At 43.3% G+C, this 27680-nt stretch overlaps 2 protein-coding genes across 15 annotated transcripts in view, besides 2 other annotated features; one reads left to right on the top strand and one right to left on the bottom strand.

The window, feature by feature from the left end:
• Positions 1–27680, top strand: part of OSBPL10 (oxysterol binding protein like 10) — a 416868-nt gene that overhangs the window by 71175 nt on the left and 318013 nt on the right. For 5 of the 9 annotated variants that reach the window (XM_047447391.1, NM_001174060.2, NM_017784.5 and 2 more), the window contains exon 1: positions 25256–25619. The exons of the other annotated variants lie outside the window; for them this stretch is intronic. Coding sequence is in view for 4 of the 5 variants with exons in the window: in NM_001174060.2 (NP_001167531.1) it covers positions 25339–25619 (281 nt within the window). In the remaining variant the exon portion in view is untranslated. Of the gene's footprint in view, positions 1–25255; positions 25620–27680 lie in introns of those variants that run through there. 9 annotated transcript variants of the gene reach the window in all.
• On the bottom strand, positions 75–24768 carry ZNF860 (zinc finger protein 860). 6 transcript variants are annotated; one of them, XR_007095674.1, is made up of 4 exons: positions 9675–11578; positions 9509–9581; positions 8146–8257; positions 75–4299 (listed from the first exon to the last, which is right to left on the bottom strand). XR_007095674.1 is itself a non-coding variant. In XM_047448072.1 (3 exons), exon 3 carries the CDS (start codon positions 17436–17438, stop codon positions 15540–15542), a length of 1899 nt encoding a protein of 632 aa, XP_047304028.1. In that variant the 5' UTR covers positions 17439–17858; positions 20109–20270; positions 24616–24768; the 3' UTR covers positions 14795–15539. The 6 variants fall into 6 exon arrangements, 4 of the variants coding, with proteins under 4 accessions (XP_047304028.1, XP_047304030.1, NP_001131146.2 ...); XR_001740138.2 differs by lacking the exons at positions 9509–9581; positions 9675–11578 and adding an exon at positions 20109–21320; XM_047448072.1 differs by lacking the exons at positions 75–4299; positions 8146–8257; positions 9509–9581; positions 9675–11578 and adding exons at positions 14795–17858; positions 20109–20270; positions 24616–24768.
• Positions 25497–25566: a silencer, noted in NCBI's record as "silent region_14164". NCBI's record gives its function as "represses an Ori minimal core promoter by ATAC-STARR-seq in GM12878 lymphoblastoid cells {active_cell/tissue: GM12878}" and the evidence as "EXISTENCE:reporter gene assay evidence [ECO:0000049][PMID:35858748]".
• Positions 27121–27170: an enhancer, noted in NCBI's record as "active region_19632". NCBI's record gives its function as "activates an Ori minimal core promoter by ATAC-STARR-seq in GM12878 lymphoblastoid cells {active_cell/tissue: GM12878}" and the evidence as "EXISTENCE:reporter gene assay evidence [ECO:0000049][PMID:35858748]".

The raw sequence follows: 27680 nt of genomic DNA, 5'->3' as shown, positions 1-27680 counted from the left end.
TGAAGGATTTCTACAAAACCCAGAAATCACCAACAATTGGGTAAAAAAGTTCAATGGATTATATTAGACCACGATTAAGAATTCATTTTTAATGTGATATAGTAGACAAAGATGACAACTGGCTTACAGAAAGGGAGATTTTTACATCATCAAAAAGTGACAGAAATAATATCTAAAGTAAATCCAACAGAAAAATACACAAAGTGTATTCAAGGGGAAATCAAAATGGCTAAGATTGCTCAACTTCATTGGATACCAAAATAAAACAAGATGGAGGGGTGCGGTGGCTCACGCCTGTAATCCCAGCACTTTGAGAGGCCGAGGCAGAGGGATCACCTGAGGTCAGGAGTTTGAGACCAGCCTGGCCAACATGGTGAAACCCCCGTCTCTATTAAAAATACAAAAATTAGCTGGGCATGGTGGTGCTCATCTGTAATCGCAGCTACTTGGGAGGCTGAGGTGGGAGAATTGCTAGAACCTGGGAGGCGGAGGCTGCAGTGAGCCAAGATGGTACCACTGCACTCCAGTCTGGGTGACAGAGCAAGACTCTGTCTCAAAAAAACAAAATAAAATAAAAAATAAAATAAATAAATAAAGTAAAACAAGACACCACTTAAAAGCCAAAAACATTGGGCTGGGCACGGTGGCTCACCCTGTAATCCCAGCACTTTGGGAGTCCTGAGGTGGGCGGATCACGAGGTCAGGAGACTGAGACCATGCGGCTAACACGGTGAAACCCCATCTCTACTAAAAATACAAAAAATTAGCTGGGCATGGCGGCAGGTGCCTTTAGTCCCAGCTACTCAGGAGGCTGAGGCAGGAGAATTGCTTGAACCTGGGAGGCAGAGGTTGCAGTGAGCCGAGACAGCGACACTGCACTCCAGCCTGGCAACAGAGTGAAACTCCATCTCAGAGAAAAAGCAACAACAAAAAAAACCCAAAACATTAAAGAGGCAGACAATACCAAGTTTGAGTGTCTGGAGAGCAGTATGCCAATACTTATGGACGTCACATATGCCCCATGACTTATTTAGCCTACTCCTGGGTAAATGCTCCAGAGAAACTTGCTCACAGTCCATAAAGGGACAGGTCTACAGATGCTACGTTAATCTCCAGATTAATGTGGTAGTAGGACAATTGGAGGCATCTGAGCATTTACTGCTCAGGGAATGGATAATACTATGGAATAGATACAACCTGTGGAATACTTTCCAGCAGTTAGGCCCTATGAACTAGATGTGCGTGTGCATCATGGGTAGATCTTAAAAATTAGTGTTGGGGATAGGGGGCAAGGGGAGGGAGAGCATTAGGACAAATACCTAATGCATGCAGGACTTAAAACCTAGATGACGCGTTGATGGGTGCAACAAACCACCATGGCACACGTATACCTATGTAACAAACCTGAACGTTCTGCACATGTACACCAGAACTTAAAGTAAAATAATAAAAAAAAGTGTTGAGTGAAAGAAGCGGCAGATTAAGATCTACGGTGTGATACCACTTCTGTATGATTTTATAAAGATGCCATCCTATCCAAGGATACTTATTAAGTCCATCAAAGTGGGTGCCTATGGGGAGAAACATAAGTGGGAATTGAATTGCAAAAAATAAAACAGGCTGATGACAATAAGCACCATGAAATAAGGACTATAATTTACTTAATTTTATGCACCTGTAAAAATTCTAGCTATCCTTTTCTTTGGTCTAAAACATGGCCTGCATTGTTTTAGAGGCTAAGCCATACACCTGCAAATAACTGCGCATGTGTCTGTCGCTCTGCAAGGCTGTCAGGCAGCCCATGTTTTCTTCTCTGTTGTTCTCTTGGTACCTGACACATAGCAGGTGTTCAATAGTTTTGTTGAAAGAAAACTCAGAACATTTTTGGAAACCAGTTTATACATTCCTCCAAAGCTTAGAAAAATGCAGAGGAACCGAAGAATGTGATGCCTGGAAACAAGATTTTCTAGTTCTCCAGCCGATATCTTGAAGGCTCAAAATTGAAAAGCAAGTACTGTTTTTTGTCCCTGTGTTCTGACTCCCCTTTCTTGTCTTCTCTTCTAGTGCTTAACAGTTGTCTTCCCCATCTGGGCAAGGGAGTCAGGTGACAACAGAATTAATATGCAATCCTTCCTGGTAATGTAAGGGATGGGCAGGGGCTTGCCTATCACAGCATAATCCAGCAAAAGCAGCCAGTACCACATGCTGCTCCCTGCTGGAGGCCCTCCAGGTCCACACTGCCCTCAGGATAAAGTCTCCACCTGACACTCATGTCCTTCCAGACTTGCTTAGGGCTCCAGACTTGGCTGTCACCACTCTAACAGGATCTGCTTCTCTAACAAAGGGTGCCAACATGGACACTCGTTAATTTTTTAAATAAGAAATCATTTAAAATAATATAAGTTAAAACTAGTAAGTTCAATAATTTAAAATTCTTTCTACTGCTTGTCTCCAAAGTGGCAGTTTGTTGAAGACACCAGGTCCACAGTGCTAGGGTCTGCTGTTCCCTGCTGTGCTATAAGTGACAACTCCTTTTATCTCACTTTCCCAAATCCAGCTGTTGTTTTGCAGAGAAAAACCTCTGTGCCAGGGTGAACAAGTCCAAAAGAGCCCTTAGTATTAGCCCGTGTTCTAGAACTTTCTACTTTGTCCCTCCAAATCCACTGTTCTCCCTTTTCCACCTTGCTCTCTGTCCTGGAGGATGACCTCCAGGGACAGCCTTGGCAGCTCTCAGAGAGAGGTGCCCTCAGTGCTGACCACACACTGCAGTGCCCTGCAGAGCTACATGACCTCCGATGCCCAGGTCCACCTGGACCAATTAAATCCTTGCCCTTTGTTCCTGATTGGTTTCGGCCAGTGAAGAGACGAGAAAGAGGATTATCCTGTTTCACTGTGCAGTCTGTTCCCTCCCAGGACCTTGAATGATACCACCCACTGGTATATTCAGTTCTCAGAAACACCCTGTTTCTTCATGGTGGTTTTATTTCTTGGTTGTCCTTGTCCTTTCCTGAAACTCAGCATTGGTTAAAGGCTAGCCTGGTTCCCTAAATGTCCTCAGGAAACAGGATGGGATGGTTCAGGGCAAGTCTACAAATGGCTCCACTTTCCACACAGGGATCAGCTTTGCAAACCAGGTGCCTTAGGAAACCTCGGGGGAACTCCCCCTTAGCACTTCCCCTCTGGGGGCTACTTGCCTTTCATGTGTATATGCATAGGAAGACCACGCTAATGACTCTCCCCTGAACAGAGAACACATACTCCCAGTGACCTGTGCTTTCTAACCTTAGCCAGAGGAGAGTTTGGTCTAAGTTCTGATGTAAGTGTTACGCAGTCCTCCAAAGCATTCTAGACATTCCGTTGATTTGCCTTCAATGACACTTGTGATTCCTCCAATTTACCACCCTCTGCCCCACTCTGGTGCCTCTGCCCAAGTCCTCACTGTGCTGTAACACTCCTCCTTCCCACTTTCGTTCGGCCAGCTTCTGCTTTTCCCAGCTGGGAGGTCTGCCTCCTGCAGACAGTCTTCCCTGACCTAAATGAAGTCTAAATTAAACCCTCATCATAGTTGCTTCTCCCACTGTGTTGTAATGACCTGATTGTCTGTCACCCCCATTGAGACAAGAGAAAGTAAAAATTAGCTTGGACTGTTAAAATCTGCCTGGCCATTCATCAGGCTGGAATAAAAGATAAAAGCAGATTCAAAGTTAACAATAAATAGTATTTCTCCCAAGGGGCACACTGTAGTGGTAAAGGGTCACAACAACCCCCTTCTTGGAGTGAGTAGTGCCTTCTGACTCACTGAGAAACCTTTTTTCTCTAAAATCTTAGACTATCAGAAACATTGCTGTTTGAAATGATGTTAGAGTGAAACATCTCACCCTTGCCTGGAGGATCTAAGTCACCAAGAGAGAAGAAGCCTTGATTCAAACCCTAGGTACAGAGCTTTGGAGGAGGGGTTTTTGGACACAGTATTCCACAGCTATGGATAATAATCTTATTGCTTCCCAGCAAACAGGTTCCTGGGTCTGCTTCATAGTCCAGGACTTAAAATAATACCTTTACATTTAGACCTATCTTGCTTTGAGTCTGTCAAAATACATTTCACTTAAATTCCATTCCTCCCCTTGCCCCATACTGTAATTCTTTTCTTTTCCTTGTTTGGGGAGATACCCTATGGTTCTCCTGGTGTGTGGTCTCTTTGCAATGTGTCAATGAACACAACTTTGTAGGCTTTTTCAGAGTAGGCTTTGTTCCTGCTGGTCTTGGGTTGGTTGAGTGGACAGCAATTCATCATAGCACCTAAAATGCAGGATAAAAGAGAGAAGCAATTTCTGTTGAATGGGCGAGTAAATGAATGAATGAGTAAATGAATGAGTGAGTAATGTTTTCCCCTAGATGGACTTGTATGAGCCAGGAAGTATACCTAGGACCTAGCCAACCTGGGCAGTTTAAACTGGGAATCTGGAGTCAGAGCTGGGTTTGAACCCTAACCTGCCATTTATTAATCATGTGAGCAAAATGAATGTCTTACTTCTGTGTGCCTCAGTGTCCTCATCTCAAAATGAAGATGATATTTTATTAAGCATAATAATCTCTCTTCTTCAGGATTGCTGTAATTGTCAGAAAAAAATTGTCCAAGAGTTGGGATTGGATAATAGAGATTACTGGGTGTTATTTCAATTGAGTGGGGCCATTGTCCTGGGGACCCTCTGGGGATATCTGATTCCAAAGGGGTGTGCACATTTCACTGACTTGCCATTGGCTAGGCTTTTTTTTTTTACACTTGATATTAGCCAAAAGGCTGAGAAGCAATGACTAGCCTTTTTAAAAATTCAACTAACAGTAGAAATTAAGTTATAGAAAACTGATGGTAACAGTTCCTGCTCATAGCAATGCCAATTAATTTTCTCTGGTACAGAATATAAATCTCTGTAATTTAAATTCTTATTTGCACCAGTTTTTACATCTTACTGGTTTCCCTATTAATTAATGAGTTGAATAAAACCCTTGGCATGGGTTCATTTCACATTTGCACGAGAGTCAGGATTTTACCTTTTGAAATTTTAATTTAACACAATGAGAGCAATAATAGATGTAAAATGCTTATTGTACCAGAGACCCTCAAGTAATACCTATGATTATTATTTTATTGATAGACTGAGATGCCAGACAGAATACACCAACAGATCAGCAAGACTGTAGGGGTTAATATAGAGCCCAGCCTTATAGAGTAGGCCAGGGAAGGGTTGGAGACCGGGAAGTTCTCTTGGGACACATCCAGGCTGAATGAATGTTTGCCTCTCCTCTTAGGCATCGCTGCTTGGTTGCAAGCACAGAACCCCACCTGAAACAATGAGGGAGCTTATGCCATAAAGCACAGGTTGATCAGCCAGGCTTCAGGAAGAGTGGACAGACAACAGCGCCCCTAGATGCCTTCACTCATCTCTCAACTCTGCCTGTTTATTAGTTTGATTCTCTGTCCTAGCACATTGACCTTGTCCACACAGCCAGGAACATGGCTGCTAACAGCTCCAAGTCCCCTTCCCCAAGGCTGTTACCACAGGTTAAGGACAGTCTTTTCTTCATTCCAGTTCCAAAGATTTCCAGGAATGTCTCTAAGCTTTCTGGTTTGGAAAGCTGCACGTCTTAGAGTATTCAGTTGTGGCCATGGAAGAGAAAGGTATTTCCCATGTGAACCGCATGGCCGGAGTCAAAGAGCAGTTCCAGGAAGAAGGGGGAGAGTGCTGAGCAGAGAAGGCAGAATATTTTTCTATTCCCTCTCAAAATTGGCTTGGAAACTGAAGTGTAACCTACCTAGAGCTGGCCAGATCACCTTGCAGTGCAGGAGTCAACAATGGTAAAGGGAGGAACAACCGTCACGAGGAAGGGCTGACAAACCGTGCTGAGAACAGCCCCGCAATTTCGCACAGATGTTATAGAAATGCTTTTAGAGTGTGTTAGATAAATGATGGGTTCAAATAGATGCATTGATTATCCTTTATATGGGAGTCAGCATGCTGGCCTCCTTACAATTTCATTTCGCCCTCACAGAGGCCCACTGGTGTGGTGGGGTGATCTTCATATGACCGTTAAGGAGACTGAGGCCCAGAGAGGTCATATAGCTATGAAGTAGCAAAACCAGTTGGAGGCAGTCTGATCCTAAACACTATTTGGAATGGACCTTTGGTCTTTGAGCCCGTATTATAAGCCGAATATAACTCTGATCTTAGTTTTTCTCCTTTATCTAGAGTGCTAACTCTGTCATGTCATTCTGTCACGTCAGCATGACCATGCTACAGTGAAATTATGTGGCGAGAGCAGGGCTTTATACTTGTATAAAACCCAGGAAAATGAACGTTAATTTACCAGGTAGAGGAAGACAGCCTCAAATAGAATAAGCTGGTATGACTAAGACAGAGGAAATGAAGGCTGACTTAGAAACAAACAAAGATAACCATTGGACCATGAGACTCAGACTTTTTGGTTATCTTTGTGGCAAAGATCATCTCCCTGTTATAGCTGAGGCCGCACCACTAGATATTTAAAGTCAAAGGGAATTAGTTTTAGAAGAGGCTCTTATGAACATTTTGGCCCTGACCTAAGGGCAAGGGAATCGAATGACCTTTTTAAGGTTCGGTTTTCAGGCCCGGTTTTGTGACAGCAGTAAAATTACTCTGACTGAAAGTTTAGAGAGTTTCAGTACAAAACAGAATGCTCTCTAGGTCTCATTTCACCGGGCTGTGGGCATGCCTTGGAAAAGGTGATCCCTGACATCTGGGCATAGCAGAGGCAGCCATATTTTCTGAACCCCAAAGCAAAACTTATGAATGGCAAAGAATTTTTAAAAATGATTTTGAGGCCGGGCACGGTGGCTCACACCTGTAATCCCAGCACTTTGGGAGGCCAAGGCAGGCAGATCACCTGAGGTAGGAAGTTCGAGACCAGCCTAAAAAAACATGGAGAAACCGTGTCTCTACTAAAAATACAAAATTAGGTGGGCGTGGTTGTGCATGCCTGTAATCTCAGCTACTCAGGAGGCTGAGGCAGAAGAATCGCTTGAACCCAAGAGGCAGAGGTTGTGGTGAGCCGAGATTGTGCCATTGTACTCCAGCCTGGGCAACAGAGTGAGACCTTGTCTCAAAAAAAAAAAAAAAAAAAGATTTTGATATTTTTATCTGAAAAGTCTCCCAAAGCATAAATAATCACATTCATTGAAAAGAATGAAAACAATCTGGGCCATGTTATCATCACTGACATAGGGGAATCAGGTTAGGGGAGTAGCTGGCAAGACAGGAAAGACTGATACCTTTGCTACATGCCACACCTGATTGCCACTGCAGCTCTTGTGCAGTCTGGAGTTACAGTGATGCCCTCCAGACAGCAGAGGGGAGACAGCTGATCAAGCTAACAGCAGAGATGGGCCAAGTGAAAACTAAAAGCTAGGCTCTCTTCAGGAGATTATTACTGTCTGGCTGATACAAATTTGTAAATTATGTCCCTCCTTTTTTCTCTTTTACACATCTTCTTCGACCTTGTGTTTTCTTATGAATGCAAAATAGCTAAATAGATTTTAAATATCCACTTATACTAAAGTGTGAATGATTGCTCTGAGCCAATGAATGGATAAATTTTATTTATCCAAGATAGTTGAAAAAGAACTGTTTTAGTTGGAAACTCTCCATTAATGGTGCAGATCTACCATAGCCAATGGCAGAAAAACTCAGTAGGGACAGAAAAACCAATAGACGTGGATCTATAAGGAAAATGCAGGAATAGGAGACTACAGCTAGAAAGGGAAAGGGCGGAGTTCTCAGTATGAGCAGAATTGATGGATAGCCAATTGGCAAGAACAGCTATAAAGTGGGGAATTTAAATGACTAGAGGACCATATTTGGTATGTAACCATCAAATTATTTGAAAAAGATCCAATGAAAGGGACAGATAAGGAAACTGGAATTTGATTATGGGTTTTGCTAGTGACAGAATGAAATATCTCCATCATTGCAATCCCAAGTTAATATACAGTAGTTGTGAAGTTCCCTTTCTAAATTGTAAATAAGCCTGATGCTGGGGGACAACCATCTGCTCAAATTCTGACCAATAATTCTCCCTTACTAGCAAGAAATCAACAGACTCAGCACTCACATGGAATTTTTTCTGAGGGGTTTTCATTCAAAGGGTGAGTCGCCAGTGGTGAGATATGCTGATGGGGAGTATACTTTGATGCTGAAGCCATTCCTCATTTCTTCCCTTTCATCTGGGGGCAAAAAAAATGCCACAAGGAAAACAAAACCCCAAATACTCTCTCACACATCATAGTACTTTACCATTTACTAAGTAATACAACTCAAGATGCCTTATTAGAGCCTGACAACAGCACCACAAAGTGGGTGCTGTCATCTTATTTTTCAGATGAAGACACTGAGGCTATAGCTGGGCACGGCTGCTCACACCTGTGGCACTTCAGGAGGCCGAGGCGGGAGGACTGCTTGAGCTCAGGAGTCTGAGACCAGTCTGGGCAACAGAGTGGGACCCAGTCTCTACAAAAAAATAAAACAAAATTAGCTGGGCACGGTGGTGCATACCTGTATAGTCCCAGCTACTCGGGAGGCTAAGGTGGGAGGATTGCTTGAGCCCAGGATGTCGAGGCTGCCATGAGTTGGGATTGTGCCAATGCACTCCCACTCCTGCCTGGGCGACAGAGTAAGACCCTGTCTCAGAAACAAAAACAAAACAAAACAAAAACACTGAGGCTCAGCGAGGCAAGTTGCTCCATGACAAGGAAGAGGCACTAACTCACAGCTGTTCCATCTCCCATCTCCAGATGTTCGCTTGATGAAATTTGTGGTAAGCAGACTATTTGATAAAGGAAAGTAAAAACAAAACAAAAAAAATCCTTCTTCTGCTTGTCATTTGCTAATTCACTAACTCTCCTTTATCTCTTTAACAATGAATGATGTTTGCCCTGGCACGGTGGCTGTAATCCCAGCATTTTGGGAGGCTGAAGCGGGCAGATCATGAGGTCAGGAGATAGAGACCATCCTGGCCAACATGGTGAAACCCTATCTCTACTAAAAATAGAAAAATTAGCTGGGTGTGGTGGCTCGTGCTTGTAATCCCAGTGACTTGGGAGGCTGAGGCACGAGGATCCCTTGAACCCAGGAGGCGGAGGTTGCAGTGAGCCGAAATCGCACCACTGCACTCCAGCCTGGCGACAGAGTGAGGGCGAGACTCCATCTTGAAAAAAAAAAAGAATGATGTTCATAAATGCTCATAGGGAGACTATTAGGACTTAAACACTGCCTATTGACATTGTAATAGTCATATTTACAGGGCTCTGCTGTGCACATAAATCGGGCATGCTTTTTAAAAGCTTTAAGTCAGAAATAATTTACTGCATAATGTGTGCTAGTAAATTTAAGCATATGATGATCTCAAATGTGTCTTGTCAGAAAGCAAGCCATTCAGCTGCAAGAAACGTGTGGTAACTATAAATAAAGGCTCCCACCTTTGCATCAAGATGAATCTCCATGATAATTTCCTTTCCTCTGGCTTCTCTCCCATTGTGAGTGGGGAGCCTTCTGGGAAGAAGGGTAGAAGCTTGGCTTTAGTTCTCCAAGATTCACAACCACATACCATATTGAATGGAGTGCTCACAAAACTGAACTTCCTACCTGTCCAAAGATACTTGTCAAGTTTTTTTTGTTTTAAATTTTATTTTTTTAAGTTCTGCACTCTCTGGAGTTGATAGCGGGATCTTTTTGCTGGTTTTTCGGCTTTTGCTTTCTTTCTTCTATAGTTTCAACCTATAAAAATTGACTTGAATATTAGGTTTGATCCAAAAAGAAACGTCAGCACCCGGCAACAGCTTCTTTCTGAAATTCTCTTTTCAGGACTGGGAGTACAGAGATGTATTAGAGATTTTCTGTAAGTGGTCTTTTCTCTTTTTAAACTTTGGGAAAGTCAATTCTTAAATCTGAAGATAAAAGCCTTAAGGTCCACTAACCCCCTTCTCCCCCTGGCAATTTATATTTAAAAAGACTTCAGATCACACATAGGTTGGCTCATATTTAGATGCAGAGAATGGCTCATATTTAGAGGTTGAGAAACACTCAAAGTGAAACAACCCACAATCATATCATTGTTCCCTTGCACGGGGGGGAGAGTTTAGAGAAATCAAGTCCTCTCTAGCAGGTTGTAACAAAAAGAATGTTACAAGTCTCAGTTAAATTTAAAACATTTCTTTGGACAGAAGTTTCTCTTTACAGGAACATTGAATTGTATTTTCCCCCTTTTATGTCTCTAGAATATTTTGTCCACTTTGGTAATCTTCCATTCTGGTTGTTTGCGTTTACCTGTGGGGAAGTCAGAAGGACTAGTATTTTGCAAACCACTTAAAACTGCCGTTTAAATGGCATCCAGTCAAGAACATTCTGCCTTGAAACTGGCAGCCCCAATTCTACCTCCAGCTCACAGTGTGACCCTGGGAGTCTCCTTTTTTTGAGTTTCATTTTCCTTCTCAGAAAAATGCTGAGATTGGATTCATCCTCCATTTCCAGCCCTCCACAGGGCATTTTGTCAGGTGGCAAATCAGGAAGGGGAGATGTCATGGATGGTTATTAACAGCGGCTTTGCACTGCATTGATCACACTAACTGCATGTCACTTCATCTCTGGATAGGGACTTCCTGTGGCTCTTTAAAAACCTGGGGTGTCACGGGAAGTCAGGGACCCTGAATGGAGGGACCGGCTGGAGCCTCAGCAGAGGAACATAAATTGTGAAGATTTCATGGACATTTATCACTTCCCTAATAATACTTTCATAATTTCTTATGCCTGTCTTTATTTTAATCTCTTAATCCTGTTATCTTCGTAAGCTGAGGATGTACATCACCTAAGGACCACTGTGATGATTGCGTTAACTGTACAAATTGATTGTAAAACATGTGTGTTTGAACAATATGAAGTCAGTGCACCTTGAAAAAGAACAGAATAACAGCGATTTTAGGGAACAAGGGAAGACAACCATAAGGTCTGACTGCCTGCAGGGTTGGGCAAAAAGAGCCATATTTTTCTTCTTGCAGAGAGCCTATAAATGGACATGCAAATAGGGAAGATATCGCTAAATTCTTTTCCTAGCAAGGAATATTAAGACCCTAGGGAAAGAATTGCATTCCTGGGGGCAGGTCTATAAACGGCCGCTCTGGGGATGTCTGTCCTATGTGGTTGAGATAAGGACTGAGATACGCCCTGGTCTCCTGCAGTACTCTCAGGCTTACTAGGATTGGGAAATCCCAGCCTGGTAAATTTGAGGTCAGACCAGTTCTCTGCTCTCAAACTCTGTTTTCTGTTAAGATGTTTATCAAGACAATACGTGCACTGCTGAACATAGACCCTTACCAGGAGTTCTGATTTTGTCCTTGCCCCATTTCCTCAGATGCATATGATCTTTACTCTGCTTTTTGCCCCTTAAAGCATGTGACCTACTCCCTATTCATATACCCCTTCCCCTTTTGAAATCCTGAATAAAAACTTACTGGTTTTGCGGCTCAGGTGGGCATCATGGTCCTACCAATATGTGATGTCACCCCTGGCAGCCCAGCTGTAAAATTCCTCTCTTTGTACTCTTTCTCTTTGTTTCTCAGACCAGCCGACACTTAGGGAAAATAGAAAGAACCTACGTTGAAATATTGGGGGCAAGTTCCCCTGATACTGGGGTATTTGTTTTATGGCCTTTCAGGAGCCTCAATCTTAAGACACATGAATATCTAGACTGTTTCTTCCTTTGGCAGTAACATATCTGGTGTTTGCAGTACACTTTCAATTTATAAAGAATTTTCTGATTTGGTGTCTCATTTAATCAAATGCTCACATTACTGTCACTTGAAGAAGGTGTATAGAAAAGACATCTGCACACCTACCCAAAAGATCTTAGAAATATCACTGAAAATTTTCAGCAGGCATGCAGTTAGGCTGGCAGACCATCCATCCATCCATCCATCCATCCATCCATCCATCCATCCATCCTTTTTTTCCCTGACATAGGGAACTCATCCTCTAACATGAAGGCATACAGGACATTTGACCTCATATACCTTTTTCTTTTTTAAAAATTTGTTTGAGAAGTTCACATTTAATAAATTTCACTATTTTTGGTGGACAGTCTATGAGTTTCTATGAGGCCTGGAGCTCTTGTAACCACTGCCACAAGTAAGTTATAGGACAGTTCCATCACTCCACCCACGTTCAAATACATTTCTGTCTAGCTACCTCTTTCTAGTCAAACACTTGCTCCACTCTTAACTCTTGGCAATCACTACTCTCAACTCTGTTCCTATAGTTTTGCCTTTTCCAGAATGTCATTATCAAGAAAATCATATAGTGTGTGGTTGAGTCTGGCTTCTTTCACTGAACATAATGCATATGAGATTCACTTGCAATATTGCATGTAACAATAGTTTACTCTCATTTATTGCTGAGTACTCATTTATTGTATACATGTACCATAGTTGGTTTACATTTTTAATTCATTCCCCAGTTGAGGGATCTTTGGGTTGTTTCCGGGTTTTGATGATTATGAATAAGGCATCAATAAACATTCACAAACAAGTTTTTTTTTGTACAAACATAGGTTTTCATTATATTTGTATAAATATCTAGAAGTGGAATAACTAGATCATATTGTATGTTTAACTTTAAAAGACACTGTCAAACTGTTTTCCAAAGTGACTGTATTATTTTGCACTCTCACCAGCAATGTGTAAGAGTTCCAATTACTCCACATCCTCACCAGCACTTGGTATCCTCAGTTTTGTGTGTGTGTGTGTGTGTGTGTGTATGTGTGTGTAGTCATGTTAATAGGTATGTAGTAGTATCTCATTGTAGTTTTACTTGTATTTCCCTAATGACTAGTAATGTTGAACATCTCTTGATGTGCTTTTTCGGACATCTGTATATCTTATTTGGTGAAGTGAATGCTCACATTTTTTGTGATTAAAAAAGGGTTTTCTTGTCTGGGCGCGGTGGCTCATGCCTGTAATCCCAGCACTTTGGGAGGCCGAGGCGGGTGGATCACCTGAGGTCAGGAGTTTGAAACCAGCCTGACCAACATGGAGAAACCCTGTCTCTACTAAAAATACAAAATTAGCCGGGCATGGTGGCGCATGCCTGTAATCCCAGCTACCGGGAGGCTGAGGCAGGAGAAGTGCTTGAACCTGGGAGGTGGAAGTTGTGGTGAGCTGAGATCGTGCCATTGCACTCCAGCCTGGTCAACAAGAGTGAACTCTGTCTCAAAAATAAAATAAAATAAAATAAAATAAAATAAAATAAAATAAAATAAAATAAAATAAAATAAGGTTTTCTTACTTCTGCATTTTGAGGGTTCTTTGAATATGCGGGAAACAAGTCCTTGGTCAAACACATGATTTGCAAATATTTTCCCGTCTTTGGCTCACCTTTCATTTCCTTACCCATATCTTTTGTAGAGTAAATATTTTCAGTATTTGTTTATTTTTTAGAGACAGGGTCTTGCTCTATTGCCTGGGCTGGAGTGCAGTGGCATGATCACAGCTCACTGCAGCTTTGAACTTCTGTGTTCAAGTGATACTCCTGCCTCAGCCTCTTGAGTAACTAGGACTACAGGCATGTGCCATCCACACCCAGCTAATATTTTATTTAAAAAACTTTCTGGACAGATGTTACCTTGCTATGTAGCCCAAGCTGGTCTTGAAATCCCAGCCTCAAGTGATGTTCCTGCCTTGGCCTCCCAAAGTGCTGGGATTACAGGCATGAGTCACCATGCCTGGCCAAGGTTTGTTTGTTTTTTGCATATAGATGTCTAGTTCCATCACTTGTTGAAAAGATCATCCAGGTGTGCTCAATGTAATCACAAGGGTCCTTATGAAAAATGCAGGAGGGTCAGAGTCAGAGAAGGAGATGCAATGACAGAACCAGAGATTGGAGTGATGTCCTTGCTGAAAGGGGCCAAAAACCAGGAACCAAGGAATGTGGGCAGCCTCTAGATGCTGGAAAAGGCAAGTAATAGATTCTCCCCTAGAGCCTCCAGAATCAACATGGCTCTACTGATACCTTGATTTTACCATGTAAGACCCATTTTTGGGCTTCTGACTGCCAGAACGGTAAAATAATCAAGTTGTATTGTTTTATAATAACCACTATGTTTATGGTAATATTTTATAGTAGCAATAGGAAACCAATACAAAAAGCTGCATTGAATTGCCTTTGCATTTCTGTCAAAATCAAGTGACTATATTCATATGAAACTATTTCTAGATTATTTATTCTGTTCCATATTTCTATGTGTCCATACTTTTTGCCTACACCACACTGACATATCTTTTTTTTTTTTTTTTTGAGATGGAGTCTCGCTCTGTTGCCTAGGTTGGAGTGCAGTGGGGCGATCCTGGCTCACTGCGACCTCTGCCTCCCAGGTTCAAGTGATTCTCCTGCCTCAGCCTCCCCAGTAGCTGGGACTACTGGTGCGTGCCACTACGCCTGGCTAATTTTTGTATTTTTTGTAGAGGTGGGGTTTTGCCATGTTGACCAGGCTGGTCTCAAACTCCTAACCTCAAGTGATCCACCCAAAGTGCTGGGATTACAGGCATGAGCCACTGCACCTGGCATTTTTTTTTTTTTAGCCTGTCTTGAATTCTCTTATTTTCACTGCTTCATATCTTCAGGATATGAAAAGTTGGTCAGTGGTAGTGAGAAAGATCCCAAAACATAAGGATCAAAAAATGGCATGTTTCAGGGTAGGCATCTGTATTAGTTATCCATTTTTTTTTTCAGAAAGAAAGAAGTAAAATTGTATTTGTTTGTAGATGACATGATCTGCTGTGTAGAAAATCACAGAGTCAACTAAAATACTACTGAAGCTAATAAACACAGTGTATTTGCAGAATACAATATCAGTACCAAAAATTAGTTAAATTTCCATACATTAACAATAAACAATGTTAAAAGAAAATTAAGAAAACACTTCCATTTGCTAGAGAACTTACAGTAAGAAATATTTAGGAATAAACGTAAAAAGGTGAGAAGTTTGTACCTTGAAATCTACAAACATTGATCAAAATGATTAAAAACTTATATAAATAGAGATATGACCCATATTGATGGATTGGAAAGATTAATATTGTTAAATGATTATATAACCCAATGTGATTTAGATTCAACACAATACCCATAAAAATCCCTATCAGAAACAAAAAACAGGCTAGGAAAAGTGGCTCACGTCTTTTGGCCAGGATGGTCTCAAACTCCTGACCTCAAGTGATCTATCCGTCTTGACCTCCCACAGTGCTGGGATTACAGGTATAAGCCACCCTGCCCAGCCCAATCCTCTTAACGTAAACACTTTAATGTCAATTAATGCTTGAACTCAATGTCAAGTCAACTGAAACTCAAGTCAATGCTGAATTGACTCTAATGTCAATTAATGCTTGATGGTTTGCTATACTCATTGCATTTGGAACAATTATCTCAGGAATGAATTTTCTGATGTTTTGCAAGGAGTGACCTCTAACTGAAGACCTTGCCACGCTTATGACATTTGTAAGATTTCTGTCCGGTATGGATTCTCTGATGTCTAATGCGATGTGAATGTGAAGTAAAGGCTTTGCCACAATCATCACACTTGTGATGTTTCTCTCCCATATGAATTCTCCTTTGTTTTGCATAAGATGAAGCTTGACTGAAGGCCTCGTCAAAATCATCACATTTGTAAGGTTTCTCTCCAGTATGAATTCTCTTATGTGTTTCATGGTGTGATTTGCGACTGAAAACTGTGTCACATTCTTCACATTTGTAAGGTTTCTCTCCAGTATGAAGTCTATGATGACGTGCAAGGGTTGCTTGTTGATTAAAAACCTTGCCACATTCATTACACTTGTAAGGTTTCTCTCCAGTATGAATTGCCTTATGAATTACAAGGGCTGAATTGTGACGGAAGGTCTTGCCACACTCATTACACTTGTAAGGTTTCTCTCCAGTATGAATTGCCTTATGAATTACAAGGGCTGAATTGTGATGGAAGGTCTTGCCACACTCATTACACTTGTAAGGTTTCTCTCCAGTATGAGTTCGCCAATGAACTACGAGATATGAACGACGTCTAAAAAATTTGCCACATTTATTACACTTGTAAGATCTCTCTTCATTATGGATTCTCCAATGATTTGCAATGGTTGTAGCATTACTGAAGACTTTGTGACAATCATTACATTTATAAAGTTTCCCTATACCATGGATTGCTTGATGGTGAATAAGTGTTGACTGCCCACTAAAGGCTTTGCCACACTCATTACACTTGTAAGGTTTCTCTCCAGTGTGAATTCTAGTGTGTTGTGTGAGGTGTGAATCACGCCTGAAAGCCTTTTCACAAACCTTACATTTGTATGGTTTCTCTCCAGTATGAATTCTCCTATGTCTTTCAAGATTTGATTTGCGACTAAAAACTTTGTCACATTCTTCACATTTGTAAGGTTTCTCTCCAGTATGAAGTCTATGATGACTTGCAAGGTTTGATTGTTGATTAAAAACCTTGCCACATTCATTACACTTGTAAGGTTTCTCACCAGTGTGACATCTATGATGGCATGCAAGGTATCGCTTCTGATTAAAGACCTTGCCACATACATCACATTTATATTGTTTCCCTCCTAAATAGATTATCTGATGTTTCCTTAAGAGTGAGCTACAATTAAAGGCTTTGCCACTCTCATTACATTGGAAAGATTTTTCTCTTATGTGTACTTCCTGTTTTAGTGTGAGTAATGATGAATGGAAGAAATTATTTTCATAGTTATTAGAAATATGGATTTTGGGCCTAGAAGAAATTCTTTGGGACGTTAGAACTGAGGAAGCATCGTTGATAGACTTCTCAACTTGATTACCAACTTTCCCTTTGGTCTGAAATATGTGGAGTTCAGGAAGATGCGAATGAAAGCTTAATCCAAGCTGATCTTTGATAGGCTTGTTTCCAGGATGCCTTCGATCATATCTGTCGGTGCTACCAGTCAACTTTTTGATTTGTGTCATAGTTGCTTCATGGCTATTTCTTTTGTCTTCTTGCCATTGAAACTCAAAGTCATGAATATCTTTCCCAATTTTCTGGAAGCAAAAATCTCCAATGTGATGACTTTCATGTCTTTCTAATGTCCCTGTGTCCACTTCTGTATTGCCTTGCGCTGTTGATGAGAACTTCTTCATCATGCATTTGGAAGAGATATCCACAGAATGCAGGTTCCTGTAGTTCTCCAACATCATGGCCCTGTATAAAGCCCTCTGCGTAGGGTCCAGGCATTTCCACTCCTCCAAAGAGAATTCTATAGCCACATCCCTAAAAGTCAAGTGTCCCTGAGGAAGAGCCATGCCTGGCTCCTTTTCTTTCCTCTTCTGAGCTGCTTCCTCACGTAACATGAGTCTTTAGAAATCAATAGTGCTGCAGTGTGACCTTCACTGAGGCGATCTGCTTCCTGCTCTGTATTAGTTATCTGTTTCCGAGAAACAAATTATCACAAACTTCGTGGCTTAAGGCAACAAACACTGATTATCTCACAGTCGCTGTGGGTCGGGGTTTGGAGGCACTTCAGCTGGGTGTTCCTGGCTCAGTGTCTCTCTGGGTTGTAGTCAAGCTGTGGGTCATGGCTGCAGTCATCTCAAGGCTTGACTGGTGACAACCTACTTCCAAGGTCACTCACATGGCTGTTAGCAGGTCTCAGAAAATCTGCTTATAAGGTGACTGACACAGTGGCTGGCACACCTTCATGCCTCCTGCCTGGGCTATCCATTGGTGGCCTGAGTATCCTTATGTCATGGCAGCTGGCTTTCCTAGAGTGACTGATGATAGAGAGAGAGAAAGACAGGGGGAGAGAGAAAGAGAGAGAGAGAGCGAGAGTGAACACTCCCCTGTTTATAAGCTGATCTTGGACATGATATACCATGACTTCTGCCATATTGTATTCATTAGAAGTGAGTCACTAAATTCATCCCACACTCAAGAGGGGAGGAATTAAGTTTCACCTCTAAAGGAGAGGAATCTATAGGCATAGCTTTGAAATCACTACAGTCTACCCTCTGGCCACAAATTTTTTTATATTCCTCCCACATGTACAACACACTCATCCTACTCCTCAGTGGCCCCCAGTGTCTCATCCCATTACTGCACTAGCTTCAAGTCCACAATCTCACCATCTAAGTCAGGTCTAGGTAGGAGAGGCTCCTCAGGTTAGTAAGTTTAGCTCCGTAAGTGCCGTTCCTCTGATCTGTGAAACTAAAGAGACTGGTTATCTGCCCCTTCACACTCAAAACACAATGGTGAAGCAGACACAGGATAATTGCTCCAGATATTCTTGTTCAAAGAGGCGGAAACAGGAGGTGCAAAGCGATCAGTGGTCCAAGGCAATTTTGAAAGCCAGTTGGGCAAATGTTGCAATTTCCGTGATTAGGTCTCAAGGCCTGGGAATACTTCTCTGGGGTTCTTGGCTTCCCTGTCTGAACCCTTGGTTTTGCCCTCTTAATCATCCTTCCCTTATCACAAAAGGCAATATGTGTTTGCTCCATTTTCCTAACCCAAGTTCATAAGTATTTTTTCCTATGTTTTCCCCTGAAAATCTAATGGTTTTACATTTCACATTTTGGTTTCTGATCCACTTGGAGGTGACTTTTGCATAAAGTGTGAAGTATAGGTCTTTCAATTTTTTGCTTATAAATGTCCCAGTCTTCTAGCACTGTTAGTTGAAATGTGGCAAAGTGACATTATACCAGTTCCCAGACTAGGCTTCAGGAGGTCCTTCCGGCTTCCTCTCTTTGGAACCCTCCCCATGCCATGAAAACAAGCCTGGGCTGGCCTGCTAGAGGATGAGAGACCCTGTGGATTAGAGAGCCCAGCTCAAACATGGCCAGCCTAGTCCATCCAGCCAATGGTCTGACATGTTAGATCTAGCCAGAACCAGCATAGTAAACATTGGTTCAGACTTTCCGGGGGTTAATTCTGTAGTACATGAGCCACATTTATAAGTGTATGCAGCCTGACCCAGTCATTGGATCTTATTCTAAGGAAATAATTAAACTAATGTAAAAGGTTATTTAAAGAACATTTCTCACAATAGCAAAAGCTTGAAATATGAGTGTTCATCAGTAGTGGAATGATTAAATTAGGGTGCATATAGACAGTGGAATACTCTGAAACTGTTACAAAGGATAATATAGCTCTAAAGGAAATTGTCTATACTATATTCTTCAGTGAACAAGGTAAATTAGAAAGTATTATATGTTTTATAGTATGAACCTGTTTTTGAATAAAATGATATACAACTATGCAGATAGAAGAGTGTCTGGACGAAGGGAAGGAGATGTATATATATGTGTGTGTGTGTGTGTGTATACACATACATATATATGGACATACATATATAAAAGTATATATACACATATATATTTATAAATTATTAGCAGTGGTTTAGAAATAATTTTTTAGTTTCTGTTTTTTTTGAGATAGGGTCTTGCTCTGTCACTCAGGCTGGAGTACAGTGGCACAATCATAGCTCACTGCAGCCTCAAATTTCTGGGCGCAAGCAATCCTCCTGGCTCAGCCTCCTGAGTAGCTGGGACTACAGGTACATGTGCCACTGTGGCTGGCTTATTTTAAAAATTTTTTTGGAGATGGAGTCTCTCCAGGTTGCCCAGGCTGGTCTGGAACTCCTGGGCAATCCTCCCATCTCAGCCTCCCACAGTGCTGGGATTATATGCATGAGCTACTGCACCTGGTCTTCAGTTTTTACTTTATAATTTTGTGTGCAAATCTTTGAAAGTGAGCATCTATTTAATAAAATAATAATAAATAGGCCAGGCGCCTATTTTATTTGTATATTTGTATTTTTTCGTATAAAAAAATATAAACTTTTTTTTGTATTTTTAGTAGAGACAGGGTTTCACTGTGTTAGCCAGGATGGTCTCGATCTCCTGACCTCGTGATCTGCCCGCCTCAGCCTCCCAAAGTGCTGGGATTAGGCGTGAGCCACCGCGCCTGGCCCTCTCAGGGTAATCTTAATGGAGCTGTTTATTCACTGGATAGTGGACTGTCCATACCTTAATTCTGGTATTTTCTTCTTCCCACTGGATGGTAAGGTTGCATGTACACGTCACAGCTGAAGTTCAGGCAGCAAGAACACTGGACTTGGAGTCAGAAGGCCTTGGTTCAGAATCAACTCCTCCTCTTTGAGTTTCTGTTTCTTCCTCAGTAAAATTAGGCTTCATTTATCATGCAATAAACATGTATTGAGTATGATTGTGTTCAGGCCCTGTGGCTGGGTGCTAGAGGCCCAAACACCTGTACTGCTTCTCTCAGAGTGGTAATGAGAGGATCAATTCCTAAATGCATAAAAATATAACAGGAAATGGAATTCCAGGCACTGAGCTGTGCTTTCTGCAGTTTCATTAAGTAGAGGAAATGAAACTGGATTCATTGCAAAGCAAGTGGTATAATACGGTGGCTAAGAACTCACGCTCAGTAGCCAAATTGCCTAAGTTGAAATCCTGGCTCCACCAGAATTTGGGGGATGTTGCTGAACCTCTCTTCAATTCAGTTTCCTCTGCCTGTAAAATGGGAGTAAGAACTGTAGATCTCCTCATGTGGTTGTTGTGAGGATTTAATGAGTTATTATGTGTAAAACACTTAAAGCAGAGTCTAGCACATAGTGCTCAATATACATTAGCTATTATTGTTATTATTATTTGGGACGTACAACACATCAGACCACATGTTTCTAACACAGACATGACCAAGTTGATATCAGAGAGTGATCTGGTTGTGATAATTTTCTCTCTATTCGTGGCCAAGCTTCATTCCTGTCATCTGGCCAATGAAGTCAATGTCCACTCACTTACTTGCTGGTCCATGAACATCCTCCTAAGGCTTTCTAACTAGAGGAGGGAGCCTCAGAAACAACTACTAGAAACTCCAGACCAGCCCTCCAGGTCCATGTGGAGAAGAAGATGGGGTAGTCAGCTCCCTACTAGGAACTACTGATTCTGTCCATTATTTCAAGAGGTATAATGTGTTTATCTTATTGCTCCAATCATGCATAGCTTCATTCCCAAAATCTTTACATGGTCTGTGATGGCTGTCAGATTTCCAGTCATTCTATTTACGTTTAAAATTTTTTCTAAGTGATTTATGCAATCTGGGTAAATTAAGGAAATGGTCCTTATATTGAGCATTTGTGTTTAGCCAATATTTTGTATTTTTAAAACATTTTTTGAGATGGAGTCTTGCTCTGTTGCCCAGGCTGGAGTGCAATGGTGTGATCTTGGCTCACTGCAACCTCTGCCTTCTGGGTTCAAGCGATTTTCCTGCCTCAGCCTCCTGAGTAGCTGGGACTACAGGCGTGTATGACCACGCCCAGCTAATTTTTGTATTTTTAGTAGAGACAGGGTTGTACCATGTTGGCCAGGCTGGTCTTGAACGCCTGACCTCACGTGACCCGCCCACCTTGGCCTCCCAAAGTGCTGGGATTACAGGCTTGAGCCACCGCGCCTGGCCTAGCCAATATTTTTAATCATACCGAAAGTGCCTTTGCAAAATTATGACAGTAAAAAAAATTCGACATAGCTGATTCCATCTTGCTTCTAACCTGTAAGCTGTCCTTGTTCATTCCCGGGCACAGGCCACAGCTAACTTTGGGAGGAATTTAGTTCATAGTCTAACCCTAAAGCAAGGATTGTAATATCCCTTTCCAAAACTATTCCCTCCTTGTTTGAACACCAAACTACCTTTGTAAAACTAATGAAAGGCCACAGGCTTAAGAGAGGTCTGAACTTTGCTAAGATAAAGGCATAGTTAAATGATAATCTGCCATTTTTCCAGAGGTCACAAGATTTCTAACCTCCCCATCACTCCTATAGATAACACCACTATTGTAAAACTTAAGATTTGTGTTTGAGGTGTTTTTCATACCCTGCATTCTGACGGACCAGTTGCCACCACCCAGTCTGGTAAACTGGCTCATCAGGTCCTGTGGCCCTTACTCAGGAACTGACTCAGTGCAAGAAGACAAACTTCGACTCTCTATAATTTCATCCCTCACCCAATCTATCAGCTTCCCCATCCTTAGCCCTCTGCCCACCAAACTATCCTTAAAAAAAAAAAAACCTTAGGTGGGCCCGGTACGGTGGCTCACGCCTGTAATCCCAGCACTTTGGGAGGCCGAGGTGGGCGGATCACGAGGTCACGAGATCGAGACCATCCTGGTGAACACAGTGAAATCCCATCTCTACTAAAAATACAAAAAAATTAGCTGGGCATGGTGGCAGGTGCCTGTAGTCCCAGCTACTGGGGAAGCTGTGAGGCAGGAGAATGACGTGAACCCGGGAGGCAGGGCTTGCAGTGAGCTGAGGTCGTGCCACTACACTCCAGCCTGGGTGACAGAGCGAGACTCCAGTCTCAAAACAAAAACAAAAACAAAAACAAAAAAAACCCCTTAGGCTCTGAATTTTCAGGGAGATTGATTTGAGTAATAATACACTCCTGTGCTCCAGCTTGGCTGGCCCTACAATTGTTAAACTCTTCCTCTATTGCAAAAACCTGCATTGGCTTTTCCGGGTAACAAGCAAGATGAAACTGTTGGGCATTACAGTATGTATTTCAAATACTTTTTGCCAACTTATTATGTATTTTCCAAATTGTTTTTCAAACATAAAGACTTTTTCCTCTCCAAACATAATTCTGCAGGTACCTTTTCCCTATTTGCTATACTACGGTAGGTCAAGGAAAGCTTTCTGGAAGAAGTGACTTGTAATCCATAACTCCATGGGTGAGAAACACAAACCGGGTGAAGAGAGCAGGGAACAGTGTCACCAGCAGGAGGAACAGCATGTGCTTCATCACTCTTTCATGATATAGCCTCTACTTTCAGCACATCTGCTCCACTCACCTCTTGGACATTTTTGATCCCATACGGCTGGCTTGCTCCTGCCCCATCCTGGCCTTGACTATTCCTTTTAGCTTAGTTCCTTCCCCACTTGAACTGGTCTATCTCAAGGGTCTAATTTTTTAGTCCAAGGTGAGAATTTGTTGTGCTAGCTCATTCAGTCTTAGGTTGGCTGCATAAGGTGGAGTAATGGTGGCATAGGTTAGGTAATATGAAATAAAATGACACTTCTCCTCTTTTAGCAGGAGCTTAAGGTGGCAGTCTCCAATAAAAGGCATGTTGTTTTGGTACATAATGCTGACATTTATAGTCCAGTATGCACCTACCTTCCCACCTTCAGTCTGTATGTCAATGCAGGACTCAATGAACACTCATATATGATCAGTAAGTTAGCTTAGGCAAAGCTATGCTGTGGTAAAAAATAATGCTAAAATCTCAATGGCTTCAAACAAACATTTTGTGCATGTTACATGGCCAACACTAACTGGCTTAGGATCTGCTGTATTCCACACCTTCTCACTCCAGGACACAAGCTTAAGGAGAGTCCTTATCCGGGACATGCTGCTCTCCTGGGATAAGGAAAAGAGAAAGATGGTGGAACCATATGACTGCTCTTAAAGCTTATGTTTGGAAGGGGCATTCATTACTTCTGTTCACATTCCATTGCTCAAAGCAATTCCATGGCCAAGCCTAAGGTCCATGTGGAGGAAGGATACTCTTTCCATAGGAAGCGGCAGTAAATATTTTGAACAAATGAACATTCTTGCATAGTTTATTACAGCCGGTATCATTTGTCCCATTTTGCAGTGAGAAAACTAAGGCTAAAAGAGGTAATTTGATCAAGGTCATAGGTTAGAATTCAGCTCTGAATGGCTTCAAATTTGGTCCAGGCAAGCTCTTTTCAGATTTTTTTTTTTTTAACACTATGTAGGCACCTGGAATTGTAATTTACTCAGGGGCACAACCACTTCTCTTCAACTCCAGAAGCTTCTCCGTGCATCTCTAGAGCTAAACCACCCATGAAATCTTCCTGGAAGGATGTGAAGCTAGAAAGGGGTTGGGCTCGGGGAACTGTCCCTTTGAGAGCTGACTTTTCCATTTAGTAATTTTTTTTAACTCTTGAAGTATTTATCTGCTTGATGGGTTTGTAGATCCTTTGGACGGAGATCACCTATCATCTATCACCTTTTGTTTTGTCTGTGTGTGTGTGAGAGAGAGAGTCTGAGTTCCTCAAAGCTTTTTTCTAGGTAATTTTTGATACTTCAGATTACAATGGATATCTATATTCACAAAAAATATTAGTGGGATAGAAAGAGTATCTTTAGGTAGGAAGAGGGGCGCAGAAGTTACAGCCAACACAGAGAATCCTTCAATGTTTGTAAATATCTGTTAATTTCCCTTGCCTCTGGAGCAGTTTTCCCGGTTTCAGAGCCTCTGCTCCTAGGTGCACGTGCAGTGTGGTAGCAATGGATAGGTTTTGACTTGCCAGGTTTATGCGTGCCATTCAGGGCAGGGGATTAGGGTTAGGCCAGTGAGTGACCTAGGACACTCAATTTAAGGAAGCACTCGCACAAACCTGAGAGTTCGCGCGCCTCACCCCAGCCCAGCCGTGTGTCTGTTAAGCATTTATCATAATCCTGCTGCATGAAAATGCCCGGCGAGCTTACCTGTGAGGATCACCTGCCACTCCCCTCCTCCGCCAGACAACGCGGAGGGCCTCCCTGAGCTGTGACTTTGCTCCGCCGGTGATAATTTCCAGGTTACTGTGTAGGAGCGTCTGGCGCAGCATCGTGTGCGGAAGACCGAGAGAGGGAGTGTGCGTGTGAGCCTGTCAGGCCGGGCGGGTCCATATCCGGGTGGACCGGGTGGGTGGGGCTGCCCCTCCCTCCAGGTCCCGAGGTGGATAAGGGGTGGGGAGTGACGTGCAGAGATTCCCTTTCGCCCCTTCGGATCCAAGAGAGGGTGGCAGAAGGAATGCGTGGGTGACTTGGCGTGGATTTAGGGCGTGCCCACCCTGCAGATCGGCCTCCTAGAGTGTCCCGAGGGCCTGAGAGGCCGCAGGGACACGAAGGAAGAGAAGGAGGAACCCGAAGAGGGCTCGCCTAGCCGGCCACCCGCTCCGAACTTGCCCGGGAAACTAGTGCGGAGGGAGGGGCCGGGCCCTGGCCGCGGCGGGAGGAGGGGCGGCCGCAGCTGCATCCAGCCCCGTTGGCTTCCTTCCCAGCTCTCCTTCGCCTCCTCCTCCTCTTCCTCCTGTATGAGTCAGGCATTTCCCGGGGATTTGGAGCAGGCACGCGCGGCCCGGGCGTCCGGAGCTGTAGCAGCAGCAGCAGCCGCCGTGCCGGGGCCGCCACCGCGGCGGGCACCCGCGTCCCGGGCGCCCACGGACCATGGAGAGGGCAGTCCAGGGCACAGACGGCGGCGGGGGTAGCAACAGCAGCAGCCGCAGCAGCAGCCGTGCTACCTCGGCGGGCTCCTCGCCCTCCTGCTCTCTGGCGGGCCGGGGGGTCTCCAGCCGGTCGGCGGCGGCCGGGCTCGGCGGCGGGGGAAGCCGCAGCAGCCCGGGCTCTGTGGCCGCTAGCCCGTCCGGGGGAGGCGGCCGCAGGAGGGAGCCGGCGCTCGAGGGCGTGCTCAGCAAATACACCAACCTCCTCCAGGGCTGGCAGAACAGGTAACGCGCCAGCCGCCCGCGCCACCGCGCGCCGCTGTGTGTGTGTGTGTGTGTGTGCGTGCGTGTGTGTATGTGTGTCTGTGTATGTGTGTGCGCGCGCGATTGTGCCTTCAGCGAACCCAGTGATGCCTCCCAACGGTGCCCTTCCTGCGTCCCTGCTCCCCTCCAGGTGGGGTTCTCAGGATGGGGCGCGCCGTGGCTCCACCCCGGGACCGCACCGCAGTGGCGGGGAGGGAGGCGAGAGCCCTGGTTTTCTTCTATGCTGGCACCTGCAGAGACTGGAGTGGTGGCAGGAGGATCGTGCTGGTCCCCGTGCTCTGCTTGTCCGCGGTTTCCCGCACGCCTGAAGAATGACTGGGAAAGGGAGGCAGAAGGGGCGTGCTTTGTGCCGGGGTGAAAAAGCGTTAGCACGTCCGCTCCGATTACAGTAATTCTCTAAGTAACAGTTCATTTTAAAGTTTGGTGTTTCAGAACACCACCACCATCAACAAAAAACCTGCCACTTGTCATCCTGGGCGACTGTGCATACTCCTGCCCCAGTTTGTGCCTTGCAGCCTCCGATGTTTGTAATGGAAGTTTTGTTTAAAAACAGAAAGAGGCCGGGCGCGGTGGCTCACCTCTGTAATCCCAGTACTTTGGGAGGCCGAGGCGGGCAGATCACGAAGTCAGGAGTTCGAGACCAGCCTCGCCAACATGGTGAAAACCCGTCTCTACTAAAAACAAAAAAAATTAGCCGGGCGTGGCGGCGCGCCTGTAATTCCAGCTACTCCGGAGGCTGAGGCAGGAGAATCGCTTGAACCCCGGAGGCAGAGGTTGCAGTGAGCCGAGATCGCGCCATTGCAATCTAGCCGGGGCGACAGTGCGAGACTCCGACTCAAAAAAAATAAATAAATAAAATAAAATAAAATAAAATAATAAAAAGAAAGAAAAAATACCCTCCCCCTTTTAATATTAGTAGCAATTTACATTATTATCATTATTTCCTCTTCAGGTCCCATTTGAAGTTTCCTGCTCACTTCCCCCTTGCAGTTGAGAAGCCTAGTTATGGACACGTGGAAGGATGGGGCTGTCGAGGAAAGGGGCTCAGGAGGCACTTGGAATGGTGGTAGTGTGTGTGATCTGCCATCGTGAGGAAGACAAGAACAGATGTGGCACTACTGTTTACTTTTTGTTTTTGTTTTTTTTTTCAATTTGTTTTCCAAAAACAAGCCAGAGGGAAATACAAGTGTCAGTGCGAGGAGAACAATGCTTTTTGGAGAGGTGGTTGGTGGGATATTTTGTCCTGCCTATTTAACAGTCTCCAGATCTTAATAGACTTGGGGCTCTTAAGGATGTTTGTGAGATTTGAATTATACCCTGGAAAGTTGCTTATCTCTGCTGCATGGACTATATTACTTGGTTATCTCTTCCTGTAGATTGTTTGGAAATGTTCAGATTTGCTTCCATCTGAAACATATCAGCCAGTTATCTGCACGAAACTCAACTTGGAGGAAGAGGTCTTTTGAAGTATGGAAACTGAGTTGTTTCTATATTGATATTCTACATATAGGACTTTCTGAGTCACCTGGGCTTCCTGGGAGATGTGTTACTATGTTAGTGGAAGTTGCACTTAACTTTTGAATCCTTTTATTTCTCAAAATAGTCCTAGTGTCTGCTGTTGCCTCTCCCTTCCCCTTTCAATTCGTGAAAGCTGAAAAAGAATAGGTAGAATGCGTAGGTAGAGGGAGATATGAGATGACTAAATCTGATTTCAGTTCTTGGTAATTATGTCTCGTTAATGGCAACTCAAGGTGCCTTGTCAGTAACAGCATTTTGTTGGTGTGTTGAGCAATCACTTAATGCTTTTTCTTCAAGTAGATTATGAGGCCAGCAAAGCTTTTACCCTGGATTACAGTTATTTTATTATTTACTTGCTGGGGAACAATATTTTACCTTGCAGTCTGTATTAAAGGATTTGTTATTTGGAGTGGATTTAGGAGGCATTGGAGTAACATTCTTTTGCATTATTTTAAACCCATTGTGGTGTTTAGATTGGAGGCAAGGTTGAGAAGAAGCACATTT

This window comes from Homo sapiens, chromosome 3, assembly GCF_000001405.40.
Source record: "Homo sapiens chromosome 3, GRCh38.p14 Primary Assembly".
In the NCBI taxonomy this organism is placed as follows: Eukaryota; Metazoa; Chordata; class Mammalia; order Primates; family Hominidae; genus Homo; species Homo sapiens.
Note: the sequence above shows the minus strand (reverse complement) of the source record. Positions and strands in the feature narration are given on the sequence as shown.

Coding starts and splice junctions, on each gene's coding strand:
- ZNF860 (XM_047448072.1), bottom strand. CDS start 17,438: ATGTTACGTGAGGAAGCAGCTCAGAAGAGGAAAGAAAAGGAGCCAGGC.